Source organism: Homo sapiens, chromosome 6 (genome assembly GCF_000001405.40).
Source record: "Homo sapiens chromosome 6, GRCh38.p14 Primary Assembly".
NCBI classification, from domain to species: domain Eukaryota; kingdom Metazoa; phylum Chordata; class Mammalia; order Primates; family Hominidae; genus Homo; species Homo sapiens.
This window is the reverse complement of record NC_000006.12, coordinates 111,868,915-111,885,297: the sequence shown is the minus strand read 5'-3', so window position 1 is coordinate 111,885,297 and position 16,383 is coordinate 111,868,915. Positions and strand designations below refer to the sequence as shown.

Sequence of the window (16,383 nt, the reverse complement as noted above, 5' to 3'; positions counted from 1 at the left end):
CTACCATTTCTTTCCTCTCAGATTCTATCTTGGGTGTCAAGCTGAGGCAGGACTTTCCCATTTTGAGAGTCCATAAATATTAACCTTCATTTTATTCTGTTTGGTACTTAATATTTTTATTTTATTTACATTTCAATCTTAAATTTATATGGAATTTGTTCTACTATATGACATGATGTAAGATTTAACTTATCCCAACAATATTTATTCAATATTCCTTTCATTTATGGCTTATGTGAAATGTCATATGTAATATATATTACACACTTATAAACATTTGGGTGTGTTCTTGCAATTTTTAGGATTTCTGTGCTTGTCTTTACTAGTCTTGCACCAGTACTACTCTATTTTATTATCTGGTAAGAGCAATACCCTCTCATTATTTAAAGAATTCTCAAGGGTGACATTGACTACATCCAAGTTTTCAAAAATTTTTTATCTGTTCTTATTCATTTTTTTCCTTCCAGATAAACTTAAAAGAAAAAAAAAGACCCAGTAGAATTCTAATTGGAATTGAATTTGATTTATAGTTTAATTTGGGAAAATTGAAATCTTAACATTATTAAGTATTTCCTCCCAGGAACTTGGTCCACCTCTCCATTTAAATCTTTTTTATGATTCTCAGTAAAAATGTGTGGTTTTTACATGTAGATCCTATTCTTTTTGTGTTAACATGGTAGACTCTGCCAGTGACTGACTTACCAAATACCCTCCCACTTGCCAGGGCCGCTTCCAGTGCATGCCTGCGCTCTATGAGGGATCTTTTCTGGCCATTGGGATGTTAGCAGGGTAAGCTGGAAATCTGGAGTTTGTGTCCCTAGAAATAGCCTCTAACCAATAACAGTGGGGAATTATGTGGGTACAATTGCTAATTTCATGTGTCAGCCTGACGTGGACATGGGGTGCCCAGATTAAACATTATTTCTAGGTGTGTCTGTGAGGGTGCCTGCAGGTCAAATTAGCATTTGAATTAGTTGACTGAGTAAAGCAGATTGCCCTCTCTAATGTAGAAGGGCATTATCCCATCCCTTGAGGGCCTGAATAGAACAAAATGGTGGAGGAAAAGGGTATTCACTCTCTCTTCCTGACTGCTGAGCTGGGACATCAGTCTTCTCCTGCCCTTGACTGGGACTTATACCATTAGCGCTCTTGCTTTCAGAACTACATCACCAGCTTTCCTGGGTCTCCAGCTTGCAGATAGTAGATCATGGGATTTCTCAGCCTCCATAATCTCATGACCCAATTTCTTATAGCAAATCATATACATATGTGCGTCCTGTTTCTGTGTAGAACACTCACTAACACAGTGAGTGAACACCCGGCTTCCTCTGCCTTCTGCTGGAATGACTGTGATGTATACTCACAGTGTCTCCCGGAGGGGACTCAGTGAGGTGACACTCTATTTGCCCCCAGGAGTACTGGCTTCATAATTCACCATCTGTGGACTTCCTTCTCTTCCTACCCTCATTCCCAGACTGGGTTTCCTGGGTTCACTTTTCAACAAGCAACTCTAACACTCATCTTTGTCTCAGGGTTTACCACTAGGAGAGCCCAAACCAAGATGTGACCACTACTTATTTTTGGTTGCCATTGTAACCAAAAAACTTTTAAAAATTATAATTTCTCACTAGATATATAGGAAAATTATTCATTTTTTTGTCTGTGGCATTTCCCATATATATAAATAAAAATATATTCAAACACAAGTTTTTGGTGTGCAAAAATTAGTATTGTTAAGTTGTTTTACATATATACTCGTACATGCTGCAAATTACTATATATTTTATATATCTATACAGAAATTGCATCCAGAGTTGTATACAAAACCCCTCATGTATACAGCACTTCAGGGGCAATTTGGATAATTTTCAAAGGTGATTTTGACTATGCACAACTTTCACCTAACTCACTGTTTTTGGAACCCATCCTCAAGATCTTTGGCAACTGGCTCCATAGTGAATTCATTTATTAGTTTTAATAGTGTTTCAATTGATTCTCGTGGTCTTTCCAGGTAGATAATTACATTAACAGGAATTGATAGAATTTTGTCACCACTTTGTCATTTATATTTATGGTTTCTTCTTTTTGTCTTACTACATTTACTAGAATTTTCAGAACAATGTTAAGTATTAGTGGTGAAAAGAGTGTCTTTGTCTAATTTCAGTTTTGAATAGAAATTGAATGTTCCTCTTTTTATTGAAAGACAGACAGAAAGAATTTGGGGAATGCCTATGGCTTATCCAAAGCCAATTCATTGAAATAAATGATAAATGAAATGCAGGATGAAATAAATTTCAGTTTTGCGTCTGTATGAAATATTTTCTGATTTTTTTGTTTTTTTTTGTTTTTTTTTTTTTTTTTTTTTTTTTTTTTGAGACTGAGTCTCGCTCTGTCGCCCAGGCTGGAGTGCAGTGGCGCGATCTCGGCTCACTGCAAGCTCCGCCTCCCGGGTTCACGCCATTCTCCTGCCTCAGCCTCCCGAGTAGCTGGGACTACAGGCGCCCGCTACCACGCCCGGCTAATTTTTTGTATTTTTAGTAGAGACGGGGTTTCACCGTGTTAGCCAGGATGGTCTCGATCTCCTGACCTCGTGATCCGCCCGCCTCGGCCTCCCAAAGTGCTGGGATTACAGGATATTTTCTGATTTTTTAACAGACCATTCTTAGTAAATTTGATTCTCTTGGGGTAAAATGAGTTTAACTTCTGTAAGCTCATGAATAATTTATGTCTATTTGAGATCTCTTCTGGCTGCCATTGGGTGGTTGACCTTGATTTGCAAGCTAGAAAAATTAAACCTCCAATATGTAACAGAGATTTGAGTTTCTATACCTGTACTTGCCAAATTCACACATCCCAAGTAACTATTTCTGCTCTTTTTGGTTCAGACAGCCAGTCCCAGGTATTTTCACATATATATATACAAGATACATCTATGTAAAAATATACATATATTTATATAGAGATAAATACATACATAAACATAGATTATATATTATAAACTATATCTGTGTGAGTTCATTTTGAACTCACTACAATATCCTAATATCTAGCCAATACATGTGTTCTCATGTCCAAGGTAGACAGATATGTTTATAAATGTATAAAATGATGTACGTGTAAGGACAAGAATTTCAGCATATTTGTAATCACAAAACATTGGAAGCATCTTATACGTCCATCAATAGGTAACTAGTTAAATAAATTGAGAAACTTGCAATAGATAGTGGCTTAAAATAGATTCAATTCTTTTGTAGACTTAGTAGAAAGTGTTTATTTCCTCTCATCTTCCACTTTAGTATAGCTGACCCAGAATCTGTTTCCACAAATCTGGAGACAATAGGGAGTGGGTGAAGAGTATGGTGGACTAAGGGATTTTCAAAGTATATCCATGAGGATGAAACTTTAACATTTATAAGCAACAAAAATTGCATCTAAGATTCCTCAAGAAAGAAGTTTTGCCCTTCATATACTATCAACAGATAGATGCTAACTTAGAATTAGTGCTTTTTGACATGTACCTGGCAAAAATATCTCTTGCCGTCCTAGTGTCTGGCTTGATGAGGACTGCTACGTTATAATACAAACAAAAACGTAATGCTAGCCAAATCAGTAAAGCAACAGCCAAAATGAAATTTAGAGAAGGATAGCTGATATTACTTCCAAGTTTTAATATTATCTCAAATTTTTGTACTGTATATCTATGTAAGACATATTTTGTATCTATGTAAAATGCATATCTATGTATTGTTTCCCCAGAGTGCTGCTCAATTTTACCATCTCTCAATGTGGCACACAGACTAGATACTGACCAAAGCCATTTCCTTTTCTTCCTGGGAACACCACTAGATTACATTTCCCAGCTCCCATGCCTACAGGTGTGGCTGTGTGATTAGTTCTGGCCAACAGAAAGTGAGCAAAAATGATGTATGTCATGTTTAGACCTGACCCCTAAAATCTGCCATGCAATTCCCTCTCCTTCCTTGTTTCCCAGTCATATAAATAGGATCCAGTGAAATCCTGGTTAAAGGAACCTAGGTCCCTGAATCACTTTAAGAATAACTGTCCATCAAAACCCAAATGGACTGTGACTTTAGAGAGAAGTAAATCTTTATTATGTAAAACCACTGAGATTTGGGGATTGTTTGTTACAGAAGTTGGTTTTAGTTTACTAATTTGTTTAGCTGGCTAATATACCCAGCTCTGTATCTCTCTTATCCAGTTTTCAAATTCTTGGTAAATAATACTTGGCTCATTCAGGGATAAGTGTCTATCCCTGGTCATTTGGCTATAGCTAGTGTATTAGTCCATTCTCACACTGCTAATAAAGACATACCGAAGTCTTGGTAATTTATAAAAGAAAGAGGTTTAATTGACTCACAGTTCCACAGTGCTGGGGAGGCCTCAGGAAACTTACAATCATGGCAGAAGGAGAAGCAAACACGTCCTTCTTCACAAGAAGGCAGGAGAGAGAAGAATGAGAATCAAGCAAAGGGGGAACCCCCTTATAAAACTATCAGAGCTCATGAGAACTTACTCACTATTACAAGAATAGCATGAAGGTAACTGCTCCCATGATTCAATCACCTCTCACCAGGTCCCTCCCACAACATGTGGGGATTATGCAAACTATAATGCAAATGTGATCTGGGAGGGGACACAGCCAAACCATATCAGCTAGGATGGGGTACTACAGGGTCACTTGATATAGACATGGCATCCCGGACACTCCTGGGCACTGGGAGCTATTCCCAGAAGAGAGGAATCACTGTGAGCTGGTACCCACACAAGAGTGTTTCCTACATAAAGAAGGATAATAAACAGGAAGAAAGGAAGACTGACAGAACCTCATATGCAGATTATCAGGGTAGGAGAAAGCATAAGAAAACCCATCAATCTTCCCATTCCTGAGAAGCTTCACATCCCTACAAGATGTGTCATAAATCCTGGCATTCACTCTCAGAGACAATTAACTCTCCCTTGGGAAATGTAGAATAACTGAAAGTTGAAAGATCATTCATGTTAAACATTATGTTCAACAAATATTGTGTACCTTGCTAAGGGAATGTAAGGGTGGGCCTAGGGGACAGACTGGAAAGGAAGAAATTCCTGTTAAATGAATAGGGACACTCAATCATGGATCACTGAGGTTCACAGAGATCTGGGTGACCAATTGCAGTGGGCATTTGTCATTTTTAAATTCTGGCCCAGCATCTCGTCGCCCTTTTTTTGAGGGGGGAGAGTCCTATTATCTGAGTTGGGTGGAGCAAAATTATCTGACCATTTCCCACAGAAGCTGAAAATATACAAATCTCCCTTCCCTTCCTCCGCCTCCTGCCCCCCAACTCCCTCCTACCCTGGCTGGCAGCTGGGGTATGGCCAGCATATTGGATGCTGCCACCTAGGAATCTGAATCTTCAGCAAGTGACACAAGGATAAAGAGACGGCTTGGAATCTACATCCGGTGGTGTTGCCCCTTGGCAGTGGCAAAAGTCTCTGGTAGAATGAGGACACCAGCAGAGGTGTCCTAACCAGCTCTCAATTCTGCCCCTGGGTAGTGATACCTGGTTCCCTCTTTTTTTTTTTTTTTCTTTTTGAGCCTGGTTCTTAAGTCTTCCAATTGATTCTATGAGCCAACCAATAGCTTCCTAAAAAAATTCCTATTCTGCTTAAATTAGACATAGTAGGGTTTTCTTTGTGTTGGTTTTTGTGTTTTGTTGTTGTTGTCATTTTGTTTTGTTTTTGAAACAGGGTCTTATCATGTCGCCTAGGCTGGACTGCAGGTCACTGCAGCCTCAACCTCCCAGGCTTAGGTGATCCTCCCACCTCAGCCTCCCATGTAGCTGGGACTACAGGCTCACGCCATCTTGTCTGGCTAATTATGTATTTTTTATAGAGATGGAGGTTCATGATATTGCTCAGGCTGGTCTCGAACTCCCGGGCTCAAGCAATCCCCCTGCCTCATCCTCCAAAAGTGCTGGGATTACAGGTGTGAGCCACGGTGCCCAGTCAGACATAGTAGGTTTTCGATGCTTGCAACCAAGAACCTTGACTGATACAATAATTTCCTCCTCCTTCAGTTCATTTTTTCCCTTGACAACTTGACAGACAGAATATTTGAATTCTTGAAAGTAGCAAGATAAATGTCATAAAGTCCACATTTCACACAGATGTAGATCACTAAACTAATTAGAAAGCTGAGGCATTATCTCTTTTTCTTTAGGACTACAAGAAGCTATGACCAGGAAAATAACTGAATCATTGAGGGCACACTCTAGGAGCTCTATCAGATAAAAACAAAATGAAAAGCATCTGCTAGCCTCACAGTGTCACTCTTGAGGGTCTCCCGTGGAGTGTCAAGTCAGGGTCAGCTCACCTAAAGAAGATCAGGCCTAATCAACCTGTTCCTGCAAACAGGGGAGTCCAAAGGTTTCTGATCCAGTTTTCTGTACTAGTGTGGGGTGTTCTATTGGCTCCACCACCCTGGAGGAGTCTTAAATACCATCACTGCACTGAGTAGAGCTTGGAAATAGCAGACAGTGAGGAGTCAAGAAAGGGCCAGAGTGAAAGGTATGGCTGGTTAGTATGCAGAAGAAAGGGACAGGCCATCTTATGACAGAACAGCCTCCTTTGTTAGGCTCCTATGGGGTCCCTGCAGGAGGTGTGTTGGGAGATAACTCTATGAAATTAGAAGGGTTTCCATCTAGAACCCCAAGGTTGACTAAGACCCATTCTCAGGCACTTGAACTTCACAAGCTAATAATCCAAGCCACCTTTGGGGAGTCGGGCAAAGAATTAAAGAAGCGCATTTTCAGTCAGTGCCATCCCATTCACCCTCCCTGTGGTCTGTTTAGGATATAGGCCTCTCTTCCTCCCCAGCATGCCTGGCTTGCCCAGTACTGACCCTGACATGTTGAGAGCATCCAAAAGAGGTTCAGTGCACCTGGGTTCTAAAACCATGTTCATAATAACTCCTATCTAGTCAGTCCACCCTCCATCTTTTTAAGAGAAAAGGGAACTGGAAAGCCAAATGCCAAGAGGGCTCTGCTGTGGCCTGTCAGGAGGACCAGCTGTCCAGTATGGACACAATTTAACAAGAGAGACAATGGTAGAAAAGTAGGGCCAGAATCTCAACTTCAGAAGAGCCACAGGTATCTTCCTTCCAGAGGCAGGTTTAACATCACCTACGCTCCTTTCTGAGTTCAGGCTGGGGTGTTGTATGGAATGTCCTTCCCACATGAGATTTTTCCAGGACCATCTCCTGCTGGCTCATGGCAAGCTGTGGACCCAAAATGCCCTAAATCCATTGGCTGTGTTCTAAAGATTGTGTATATAAAAATATGTAACTCTTTATGTATGGACTTGATATGAGGCATCAGAAGAAAGAGGTAAACAGTGAACCAGGTATGCCAAGTACAGACAGGTTAGCCCTGGGGCCACTTTAGCAGTGGTGTCCCACTCTAAGAGTGAAGGGGTTTTTTTGCTTGTTTTTTTCATTTTGTTTTGTTTTGAGACAGGGTCTCACTCTGTTACAGCAGTGCAATTAGAGCTCACTGCAGCTTTGACCTCCCAGGCTCAAGCAATCTTCCCATCTCAGCCTCCCAAGTAGATGAGACGGCAGGTGTACACCACCACACCTGGCATTTATTTTTTTTGTAGAGATGGGGTCTTGCTGTGCTGTCCAGGTTGGTCTCAAACTCCTGGGCTCAAGCAGTCCTCTGGCCTCAGCCTCCCAAAGCACGGGGATTACAGGCACGAGCTATCATGCCTAGCCTCAAAGTGAAGTTTTATAAGAATCATTCCTGCAAGTCCCAGAAGACCCACCAGAAACAAGAAGGGTGTCTGTGGGTGGATGGAAGCAGAAGGCCTCCCTCTGGTCCTGGTCTTGATTCCTGAACACTACCCTGGGGCAATATGCCTTCAAAAGGGAGGAAAAACAGCAGACAGGAGGCAGAGGAAGAAAAACGAGAATTAAAGTAGCAAAAAAAGGTACAAGTTTAAAATAAGTTTTTATTGTTTTTTCTAATAACATAATAAATGCCCAATGTAAAAAGTTGAGGAAATTAAGAAAAAGATAAAAAATAAAATAACAATGACCTAAAATATGATTACTTGGAGGAAATGATCATTAAAATTTTTGTGTATGTATTGCTTTCTATGAAAATTTACACATATAAATAAGTTTAAAAATAATGGAAATATATGTGTATTAATACATATATATAAACATACATATGTACACATACAAACACAATACTAATTTATTAGCTCTTCTTAATTTTAATTTGTTGTGAACATCTTTCCACACAAATAAATAAATAAATGGCAATGTTATAATTTTATGGCTATATAGTATTCTATTATAGATATAACATAATTTACACACCAAATCCCTTATCAATGAACTTTTCTCAGTGTTTCACTATTATAAACAATGTTCCAATTATTCCCATGATATGTGCGCTTGTGTTTGTGTATTTGCAAATTTGTTCCATTCTTTCCCAGAAGTAAAATTGCTAAGTCAAATGTATACATTTTTTTAAAAGGCTTTTCACAAATGCTATTAAACTGCCTTCCAGCAATGTTGTACCAATTAAAAATTCCACTAGTAGGGTATGGATATCCATTTTCCTGTTGAACCTCCTATCACATTTACTGGCCATTTTGGGTTTTGTTTCTGTTGCACATATTTTTCAGTTCGAACGTTCATCTTTATTTTCTTGTTGATTTGTAAAAACTCTACATTGAGGGTTTTTACCCTTGCCATATGTGTTGTTGTTGAGTTGACATTTAAGAGAAGATTAAAACTAAAATAAAATAATAAGACAAGAAAATGTTTTAGCTAATAAAAATAAGAAAAAAAAGTTACTTTAAAAGCAAGATATAAGATTCAGATGAGACAAGTTCAAGAAAGCCAGAATAGAAAGAGGAAACTTTAAGGTAAAACAAGTAGAAAAATACAAAATATATAAACAATATCAATAAAATCAAAGAGAAGTTCTAGAACAATGACTACATTCTAATTTGTATAATAGAAGCTACTCATAAGAAAACAAAACTGGTGGTTGTGGAAGACAATATTACTTACCTTGGGTAGGCCAGGGACAGCGTCTCAGATCTTTAATCAAGTTCTTGGTAGAGATTGGCAGAAAAGATCAAAACGGGAATAGTATACAAATCTTTTGCAGTGCTCTATTCACTTGTTCAGACCATTAGCAAATCCTCCTGAGGAGTCCAAATCCATTTAAAGCTACATTTAAGACGGGCAACAGATAAAAAAGTAGGTAAGCAAAGAATTACAAAAAACAGGATGAAGTCTTGATGGGAGCAGGTTAATCTGTCATTTTAATCACATTGTCTCTTTGTCCACTAATTAGATCAAGAAGCTATTACAGTTGCAGACACTAAGAAGTGACTTCTCGTGAAGAAACAGAGAGAGAGGAGGAGAGAGGGAGAGAGAGAGAGAGAGAGAGAGAGAGGACTTATCCCACCTACTCCAGATTTCCAGATTTAGCGTAAGATAGATTGAACTAAACATGAGATTTCAAGGAGATATATAGCCTAAGAGTGTTTTTTTCTTGAGAGCATATGACACTTAGTCTGTCCGGAATAGTTTGAGAACAGTTTTACTATTTTTCCCATTTTACGTATGAGGACACTAAGGTTCAAAAAGGATAAGCGACTTGCTTCATCAAAGCGCTCCCAACAGTGAACTGTGGAGCTGGAATCAGAAACAACTCCAGACCAGTGCTGCCCGATAGAGATATAACTTGAGCCACATAGGTTATTTAAAATTTTCTAGTAGACGCATTTAAAAAATAAAAGAAACAATTTAATTAACTCTAATAATGTTTTATTTAGCACAGTACATTTAGACTATCATTTTAACATGTAATCAATATTAAAATGGGATACTTTACATTCCATTTTTCATGCTTGATCTGAAATATCTAATACATCTTTTACATTTACAGCACATCCTAATTTGCAGTAGCCAAATTTCCAATACTGAAGTACATTTCAAGTACTTAACAGTCATGTGGCTAGTGGCTACCTCCTCGGACAGCCCAATTCTAGAACTATGGTCCTCAAGGTGCTGTCTCCAGATTGGCTGTATCAACATCACCTGGGAACTTGCTAAATGTGCAAATTCTTGGGCACCATCCCAAACCCCCTAAATCAGAACCTCAGGTGGTTAAACACAGCAATTCATGTTTAAGCAAGCCCCTTCAGTTATTTCTGATACATGTCAAAGTTTGAGAACCATTGCTCTACCCAACTGCCTCTGCATCCCAATCCAAATAAACCCAGAGCAGCCATTGCGGACTAGCCCTGAGGACGAAGAGCCTCTGCTCTTGAGATAAGCAATTCTTGGCTAAATGAAGCTGGCTTTCTCTTGTATGGAAATATCCTAGTCCTAGCTATGGTTCCATTTCTTGGGATTATGGAATTTCCAGACACAATTTAAACATGGTTTAATTTGTCATTTTGTTTAAGGAAAAGGAAAAAAATCCAGTAACCTCTGTATACTGTCACCTTGAGTTAGTTACTTAACTTTTCTTTTCCTCAGTTTCCTCCTCCATAGGATGCAGATCATTTAATAAATGTTAGCAACTTTTCTTAAAAAGTAGTGTGTACAAAAAGAAAAAAGTCAGCAAAAGGGACAGATTTTTTTAAACTACAGTAAAAACAAGTAGTGGGCCGGAAAGGCAATATTATAGATTTTGAGCACAGAAGCAGAAGCTGATTCACTTATAATTTCTTAGAACATTAGATTTGCTGAGGGGGAAGGTAGGGTTCTTGCCAAAATCATTAAGGAGAGCGATTCTGAGTATGCCTTAAAGCAGAACTTTCAGTAAACAGGAATTACCTATAAAGAAAATCAGGAAGCCAAAGTGTTTCTTTTTATGAAGTTACATCCTGCCATAGAAAAGCTGGATAGGAAATAAAGACCGATGCACTCCCAACTGTATACTAAACCGGCAATTATTTCATCAAGGGAAATATGAGCAAAAGCTCAGATTCAGTGAAGGGGAAAAAAACATGAGAAGTTTGAATGTTATGAGAAACCAAAGACAACCAATGACTACAATTAAACGAGGTTTTTTGGGGGTGGGGCGGGGAATGTACGAACAAATCTCTGTCATTTCAGGTTCCTTAGTCGCCGCTTGGCCCCTCCCCCTATTTCAGTAATACTTCCTCCAGACTTTTGCTAGAAAAAAAATATAAATGAGTGTCCGCAGAAATAGGGGACTGATAAAATGATCCTAATCTCCTTCTCCTCCTCATTGTTATTTGTTGTGCGTTTCCACGTTTCAGGACAGGATTCTACTTTGCTCCGTACTCTTTTCAGTTTGATCAAAGAAAACGCTGCTATCACCGCCCAATTTTCCATTTCATCCTCTCACCCTCAAATGAAAAGACACCAGAAAGGCAAGATAGCCCTGTCTCGAGGCAGTTTCCCATGGTTTTGGGGGAATGGCAGGTGCCAATCTGCAGCAGCAGCTGCAACCTTCCGCAAAGCGGAAACTGCAGTTCACACTCTCCGCTCTTTCTCCCGCCCTACTCCGCCACCTCACAACTCCACACAATCCTTAAAAACACACAGACCTCCTCCTCCAACCTCGCATTTTCTTGCACACCCTGCACCGCACGCACCCTGGGATGCCCGCTGCCACAGTAACGCTCAACCCACTCGGCGGCCCCACCTACTGCCGTCCCGCCCACGCCCCAGGCGCCAATGGTTGCGGCTCGCAGCTCCCAAGGGGCTCTTTGATAGGGCAGCCGGGCCTGTCACTCTCGAGGCGCGCCCCGCCCCCTCCTCGCTCCCCTCCGGAGCTGGAGGGGCAGAGCATCAGCAAGAGTAGCAGCGAGCAGCCGCGCTGGTGGCGGCGGCGCGTCGTTGCAGTTGCGCCATCTGTCAGGAGCGGAGCCGGCGAGGAGGGGGCTGCCGCGGGCGAGGAGGAGGGGTCGCCGCGAGCCGAAGGCCTTCGAGACCCGCCCGCCGCCCGGCGGCGAGAGTAGAGGCGAGGTTGTTGTGCGAGCGGCGCGTCCTCTCCCGCCCGGGCGCGCCGCGCTTCTCCCAGCGCACCGAGGACCGCCCGGGCGCACACAAAGCCGCCGCCCGCGCCGCACCGCCCGGCGGCCGCCGCCCGCGCCAGGGAGGGATTCGGCCGCCGGGCCGGGGACACCCCGGCGCCGCCCCCTCGGTGCTCTCGGAAGGCCCACCGGCTCCCGGGCCCGCCGGGGACCCCCCGGAGCCGCCTCGGCCGCGCCGGAGGAGGGCGGGGAGAGGACCATGTGAGTGGGCTCCGGAGCCTCAGCGCCGCGCAGGTAAGCAGGCGGCGGGGATGCGTCGCGGGAGGCCTCGGGGATGCTGCGGAGAAGCCCGGCCGCCGGCGCCCCCGCGCACGCCGCCCCCGCCGCAGGGCCCGGTGCTGCGGTCCCTTGGCCGCCAGGGCGCTCCGCGGGGCTGCCGGGGAGTCGGTGCTTGGGGTCTTCCCGCGGTTGCACCGGAGGACACCCCTGCGGGGTGCGGCCCCGAGGCAGCGCGGGGATGGGGACCCCATTTCCTCGCCCGCAAGCGGGCGCCGGGTGAAAATGGGAATTGGCTTGGGGGCGAGGCTGGCCCAGACTCCGCCCCCGCCCTCCTTTTGGGGCCCCCCGCGGGGACTGGGGCTGTGTGTGTTGTTTTAATGTCAGGGATGATGTAATCACTTAATAATTGATGCCCCGTGCTGCTTCCCTCCCCACCCAACCCCTGCCCCACTCCTCCACCTCTCGGCCTCCTCCCTCGGCGGCGGTCGCCTTCTCCAACCCATCCTCCTGCCTATTTCTGGCACCTCCCTTGCACTTCCCCCATCCTCCCCTTCACTCTTCCTGTGCCACCACCCACCCACCCTTCCCCTTTCCCCTGTGCTGGAGCCTTCCCTCCTCTTCCTCTGTCCCCCACCCCTCTGCTCCCTCCAGCTCTTTTCTCCTTCCTTTCCGGCTCCCTCGCTGGATTTCCTCTCTACTTCCCTAGATCCATGGCTGTTTTTGTTTGGGCTCCTCCCCTCTGTTATCTCTGCGGCCACAGGCGGAGGGGACTGGGCCAGAAGGAGGCCACCGAGCTTGGGCCCAGCAGAGATGTGCTGGGACTCACTGGGAAGAGGGATAATAAAATCACCCTTCTTGCCCCTCCTTCCCCCAATAAATCACACAGACTCGCCGGGTGTGTGAGTGTGAGTGTGACACAAAGAGCCCTTTCAGTGCATAGAGAGGAGACACACAAAGTACCCTAGGATAGGCACGATGCTTCTTGTCTCTCTTCCCTGGGGCTTCCCTTTCTTTCCCATGAAGCAGTTGATCTCTCTGAGTCTTTCCTGCCACATTTACCAAAAAATAAAAGAACCCCCGGATGCCGGGTGGCAGGTGTCGGCATTTTGCTGTGTTCAGAGACCGGTAGTGTTGACTGGCAGCTGCAGTGTTTCTTAGATTTAAGGGAACAGTTATCCCAGCAGTCTTAAGAGTTGCTTTACTTTTAAGGTAGCCTCCCCATCCCCTCGTTCTTTCCCCTGTCCTTTTGGGAACAAGTACTAAGAGCTGGGGTAGAGTAGATTGGTGTGGGGGTCACAAGAATTTTGTTTCTGAATCAGAATTAAATTGTTATTTGATAAGAGGGAGGCAGCCTGAATGGCTTCTTCTCTCAAGTCTAAGAGGGCACTGTACTGAAGTCTTTTGAAATGAAATCCTGTCTGCCCAGTGATGTTGTTTTACCCTTTTATTGAAGTAAATACCTGGGGACGTGGATAAAACGGTCTAGAGTTAGCATTTGGAAGACCACTGCAGACTGCCTCTTGCCTGCTTCAAGGTAGTCTTGGGACGCCTACTTCCTTTCTCACCACCCAAGCAACTGCAATACTTTCCACCCTATGTACTGTCTTCTTCCCCAGTCCCTGCTCCATGGGTACCCTGTATTCAGATGAAGGGACTCACAGACTTTTGGAGGAAGTGGTTTAACTATCTGAGGCTTTGAGGCCACTTGGCTATGAACTGGGGCTGTAGAGAATCTTGACTGAAGTCTAAACCATTTGATGTTCCCTTTAAGGAAGAAATGTTAATGTAAATCTGGGGGCTTAATGTTCCGTTTTGTAAGCCAGTGACTATTACATGCTTAATCGATATTGTCAAAACTTAAGTTGAACCTGTTCTTTCCTAAAAGTATGGCTCCTCGACTATTTTTATAAGTAACAGAACTGTAGGTTTAGTCTTCAGTAATTTTATTAGAAAAGAGTTATGATTCATTAAATATTTACTTACACACTTTTTAAGAACATTCATCGTGGAACTTTTTACGATAAAAAAAGCAATAGGGTTAATGAGTGTACTGTAAAAACAAAGGGTCGTTTGTTTGATGCCAGACCCAGGAAGGAAAGCCAGAGCACATAAACTCACACTCTGTTGACCAAGTTTAAGAGACTTAATGATAAGGTTGAATGTGAGCAAATGCACACTCTGCTTTCTCCTGGGTCTGGAATCTCCAACCCCATCTGACTTGCTCGAAGTCCTTTTTAACCTTTGGGGCCCAGCTCAAATGTCATCTCCTCTGTGAAGCCGTTTCCATCTTCTCCTTTCCAAACAAATCATCATGTTTTGGTTTCAAACTTTGGCAGCAGGCATTATGTTTCGCATGAGTCTATTTCCACCATTAATTGGTCAGCACATTGATAAAAGGAACCTTATCTTACTTATCTTGTTTCCTACCAAGTTTTATCTTAGCGGGTATTCTGTTTCATTTAACATTAAACAAATGTGAGTTAGGTCTTTGGTATGTGCTCAACACCTGTATCAATTAGGCTAATGTTAGCAGGTGTAACAAATAGGCCTGCAAATATATAATGGCTCAAAAGCAATAGACGTTTATTCTTGCTCATTTAATAGTCAAAAATTCATGTTTCTGGTCGGTAGGTGGCTTTCCTCCATGCAGTGACTCTGGGTCCCACACCCCTATCTTGTAGCTCCACCATCCCATAGCTTATCATCGTAACCTGTTTCAGTTTACAGAAGGGGCAACAGAGAGTAGACGGGGCACACCCACTTTTAAAATACCTTAGCCTGGAAGTGCCACCATCACTTCCTCTCACATTCTTTACTTGAGGGCTAGTTATATGGCCACATTTAATTGCAAGGGAGCCTGGGAAATGTAGTTTAGCCATGTGCTCAGAAAAAAGATACAGAATAAATGTATTTTTATTGAACAGCTTTGTCAAACACTGCCACTTATCAAGGCACATTCACTGCCCTCAAGAAACTTATAGGCTAATGGGAATTAAATAGAAACCTAGAGCGGACACCCGTCATTGCTTTTCTTTTGATTTTATAAGTTTAGATCTTTTCATCCTAAGCATGTTTCAAAAATCTTACTTTTTGTCATGTTTCAAATTTTATGTTTCAAATGTTGCCAATTCCTACTCAATAATCCCATGTGATACAATCATCTGATGCTTCCTGTGTTGACTTTGATGTGGTTCTTTTACTCCAAAAGCACCTTTCTTGGCTTCATTTTTCATCTGGTCATTCTGTAGACTCCCAAAGTTGCTAGGAGAGTCCTTAGAAATCACACTCCTTCTGGATGTTGCAGCTCACGCCTGTAATCCCAGCACTTTGGGAGGCTGAGGTGGGTGGATCACTTTAGCCCAAGAGTTTGTTATCAGCCTGGGCAACATAGTGAGACCTCGTCTCCACGAAAAATCTTTTAAAAACTATCCAGGCATGGTAGCATGCATCTGTGGTCCCAGCTACTCAAGAGGCTGAGGTGGGAGGATCACTTGAGCCTGGGAGGTAGAGACTGCAGTGAGCTGAGGTCATACCACTGTACTCTAGCCTGGGCTCCAGAGTGAGACCCTATCTCAAAAAGAAAAACAGAAATCACAGTCCCACTCCCTCTTAATTGGAAGAGGAAATTAATTAGCCTGAGAGGTGAAACTCCTTGCCCCAAGGCCTTGCAGCTTCTTAACGGAAGGGCAGGAGGCTCAGCCAGCCAGCTCTTCAGGCCCACATGGGTCTCCTCTGTCACTCAGCTGCCCTCTTTGTCTGTGAGTCTTGCATATTCCACGGAGGTTAAGTGAGCTTCCAAATCTCCATGAGCAGGGTTCTAGTGTTCTGGGTAGTCCCTGTTCTCCACAGGCTTCCAAATTGTTGGAGCAATTCCATTCATACCAGCCATCATAATTGTTAATGCACTTTTTTTTGCCATGAATACTTCATTATATTCATCTGTTCTGCAGACATTAGCCTAGTATGTTACTTTGTGCAAGGCACTGGGGAGATGAGGTCCTGGAAATGAATACTTCTGCTGTCCTTGCTTTTCAGAAGTTCACGGTCTACTAGAAGAGATAAAAATAA

At 42.9% G+C, this 16,383-nt stretch overlaps 1 protein-coding gene and 1 long non-coding RNA gene across 6 annotated transcripts in view, besides 6 other annotated features; one reads left to right on the top strand and one right to left on the bottom strand.

Moving 5' to 3' along the window:
* Positions 744 to 1,247: an enhancer, noted in NCBI's record as "NANOG hESC enhancer chr6:112205254-112205757 (GRCh37/hg19 assembly coordinates)". NCBI's record gives its function as "activates a minimal SCP1, AML or CMV promoter by ChIP-STARR-seq in naive and primed H9 embryonic stem cells {active_cell/tissue: H9 hESC(naive and primed)}" and the evidence as "EXISTENCE:reporter gene assay evidence [ECO:0000049][PMID:30033119]".
* On the bottom strand, positions 7,988 to 11,846 carry LOC102724646 (uncharacterized). Its single transcript, NR_168402.1, has 3 exons — positions 11,608 to 11,846; positions 9,086 to 9,247; positions 7,988 to 8,804 (listed from the first exon to the last, which is right to left on the bottom strand). It is a non-coding gene; the product is annotated as an uncharacterized LOC102724646 (long non-coding RNA).
* Positions 11,717 to 11,806: a silencer, noted in NCBI's record as "silent region_17483". NCBI's record gives its function as "represses an Ori minimal core promoter by ATAC-STARR-seq in GM12878 lymphoblastoid cells {active_cell/tissue: GM12878}" and the evidence as "EXISTENCE:reporter gene assay evidence [ECO:0000049][PMID:35858748]".
* Positions 11,717 to 12,274: a biological region, named in NCBI's record as "H3K27ac hESC enhancer GRCh37_chr6:112194227-112194726".
* Positions 11,775 to 12,274: an enhancer, noted in NCBI's record as "H3K27ac hESC enhancer chr6:112194227-112194726 (GRCh37/hg19 assembly coordinates)". NCBI's record gives its function as "activates a minimal SCP1, AML or CMV promoter by ChIP-STARR-seq in primed H9 embryonic stem cells {active_cell/tissue: H9 hESC(primed)}" and the evidence as "EXISTENCE:reporter gene assay evidence [ECO:0000049][PMID:30033119]".
* The window catches only part of FYN (FYN proto-oncogene, Src family tyrosine kinase), a 213,121-nt gene continuing 208,583 nt past the window's right edge, over positions 11,846 to 16,383 (top strand). For 4 of the 5 annotated variants that reach the window (XM_047418569.1, XM_047418561.1, XM_005266892.5 and 1 more), the window contains exon 1: positions 11,846 to 12,330. The gene's annotated coding sequence lies outside the window, so the exon portion shown is untranslated. The remainder of the gene's footprint in view (positions 12,331 to 16,383) is intronic. The other variant, NM_153047.4, reaches the window with a different exon arrangement.
* Positions 11,927 to 12,176: a silencer, noted in NCBI's record as "silent region_17482". NCBI's record gives its function as "represses an Ori minimal core promoter by ATAC-STARR-seq in GM12878 lymphoblastoid cells {active_cell/tissue: GM12878}" and the evidence as "EXISTENCE:reporter gene assay evidence [ECO:0000049][PMID:35858748]".
* Positions 12,327 to 12,726: a silencer, noted in NCBI's record as "silent region_17481". NCBI's record gives its function as "represses an Ori minimal core promoter by ATAC-STARR-seq in GM12878 lymphoblastoid cells {active_cell/tissue: GM12878}" and the evidence as "EXISTENCE:reporter gene assay evidence [ECO:0000049][PMID:35858748]".